This window comes from Homo sapiens, chromosome 7, assembly GCF_000001405.40.
Source record: "Homo sapiens chromosome 7, GRCh38.p14 Primary Assembly".
NCBI classification, from domain to species: Eukaryota; Metazoa; Chordata; class Mammalia; order Primates; family Hominidae; genus Homo; species Homo sapiens.
In genome coordinates, this window is record NC_000007.14 from 140,398,945 (window position 1) to 140,401,582 (window position 2,638).

Genomic DNA, 2,638 nt, shown 5'->3' on the forward strand with positions numbered 1-2,638 from the left:
CAGCCTTAGCAACATAGCCAGACCCCATCTCTACAAAAAATGTTAAAATTAGCCAGGAGTAGTGGCATGTGCCTGTGGTCCCTGCTACTGGGGCGACCGAGGTGCGAGGATCGCTTGAGCCCAAAAGTTTGAGGCTGGCAGCTGTGATTGCTCCACTGCACCAGCCTGGGCAACAGAACGAGACCCTGCCTCCAAAAAAAAAAAATCCAACACAAGTGTCTCACACCTGTAATCCTAACACTTTGGGAGGCCGAAGTAGGAGCATCATTTGAGAACAAGAGTTTGAGACCAGCCTGGGCAAGGTAGTGAGAGCCGCCCCCCATCCACCACCACCACCGCCGCCACCGTTTCTTAAATAAAGGGAAAAAATACAGACACTTGTTCGAATTTTAAAGAAAAAAAACTTCTCTTAATCCAGAAAATCTCCACAACAACCATTACATACCTGTTCTCAAGATAAACAATCACTAGTCTTCAAATAACAGAACTTGACAACACCTTTTGTCAAACATAGTTCCTCCTTACTTAATAGTAGTAATTGGGGAGACCACTCATGTTGGCTTTATCCAGAAGCAAAACAAACTTCGCATAACTTTTTGTTGTTGTTGTTCGTTTTTTAAACTTCGCATATCTTTTTGTTTGTTTGTTTTTTGTTTTTGAGACGGAGTCTTGCTCTGTTACCCAGGCTGGAGTGCAGTGGCGTGATCTCAGCTCACTGCAAGCTCCGCCTCCCGGGTTCAAGGGATTCTCCTGCCTCAGCCTCCCGAATAGCTGGGACTACAGGCGCCCGCCACCACGCCTGGCTAATTTTTTTGTATTTTTAGTAGAGACGGGGTTTCACCGTGTTAGCCAGGATGGTCTCGATCTCCTGACCTCGTGATCTGCCCTCCTTGGCCTCCCAAAGTTCTAGCATTACAGGTGTGAGCCACCGCAGCCGGCCAAAGTTCGCATATCTTTATAGCAGGAGGTAGTTTTACAAATTGGAGCAAGGCGCCCATACCCACTAATTTAGTCTCTTACCCTCATGTAGGAACTGGAAGATACAGGCACTAACTCACGTCTGAATTTCAAAAAGATGACCCCCAAGTCCTTGAGGATACATTTCTGAGTTGTGATACTGGCAAGAGGCTCATTTCGCCGTTATAAAGATTTGTGTACATTCGAAAAGGACAGAGAAAGAAATTTTGAAGGAACAGAGAGAAGGCTGAGAAGTCTCTTTATTTTCAGCAGAGGAATTAAGCCTGTTATTTTTCATTTTTATTTGCCCTTATACAGTGGTAGTTTTGTTTCTAGCCCTTATACAGTGGTAGTTTTGTCTCTAGGCATCCAAGGAGAAATATGATGTCAGGGTGAGCAAAAATAAATGAGCCAAATATGTTACTTTTATTTTTAAAAATATATTGTGAATCGTTTATTTTTCAGCCTAAAAAAGGTAGCAAATTCTGACACATACTACAACATAGACGAACCTTCAAAAACATTATGCTAAGTGAAATAAGTCAGACATAAAAGGACCAGTACAGTACAGTTCCACTTATATGAGGTAGCCAGAGTAGTGAAATTCATAGAGTCAGAAAGTAGCATGGTGGTTGCCCATGGCTGGAGGGAAGGGGAAATGAGAAATTGTTGTTTAATGGCTATGGAGTTTCCGTTTGGGATGCCAAAAAAGTCCTGGAGATGGATGGTGATGTTGGTTGCACAACAATGTATTTAATGCCATTGAATTGTACACTTAAAAACGGTTAAAATGGTAAATATATATACATAGAGTGAAATACATAGTTTTTTGTGTTATATTTACATATGGGTGTATACATATATATGTGTGTGTGTATACTTCAAGTATATAACCTGTGTCACCACCACTCAGGGCTAGAATGCCTTCTTAGCCATGTGGTGGTGTGTATCTTTAATCCCAGCTACTAGGGAGGTTGAGGTAGGAGGATCACTTCAGCCGCACCTTTGGAGGCTGCAGTGAGCTATGATCGTACCACTGTGCTCCAGCCTGGGTGACAGAGGGAGACCCAGTCTCTTAAAAAAGAAAAAACAGTGTATATATACACACACATTTATACATATGAATGCCTTCTTTCCTGTAGCCCAAGCTATGCTCTTTGTATTTATAGTGACCTTGGTGGAGAGGGTTGGGTGGTAGACAGAGGTAAGATCTCTCTCCCCTTGACTTCCAAAACCATCAGGATATTTAAATATTTGTAACATTTGTTTTCTACCTGTAGATGTTCTCCAAGTGCTCAGTGGGTCTGAGTCAGGTGACTTTTTTTTTAAACAGTAACCACCCCAGGTGCGGTGGCTCACCCCTATAATCCCAGCACTTTGGAAGGCCGAGGCAAGTGGATCACCTGAGGTCAGGAGTTCCAGACCAGCCTGGCCAACATAGTGAAACCCCATCTCTACTAAAAATACAAAAATTAGCTGGACGTGGTGGCGGGTGCCTGTAATCCCAACTACTCGGGAGGCTGAGGCAGGAGAATCGCTTGAACCCGGGAGGTGGAGGTTGCAGTGAGCCAAGATCGCACCATTGCACTCGAGCCTGAGTGACAAAAGCTAAACCTTATCTCAGGAAAAAAAAAAAAAAAGTAACCATTACCAGAAGAAAGACAACATTTGGACACTGAAC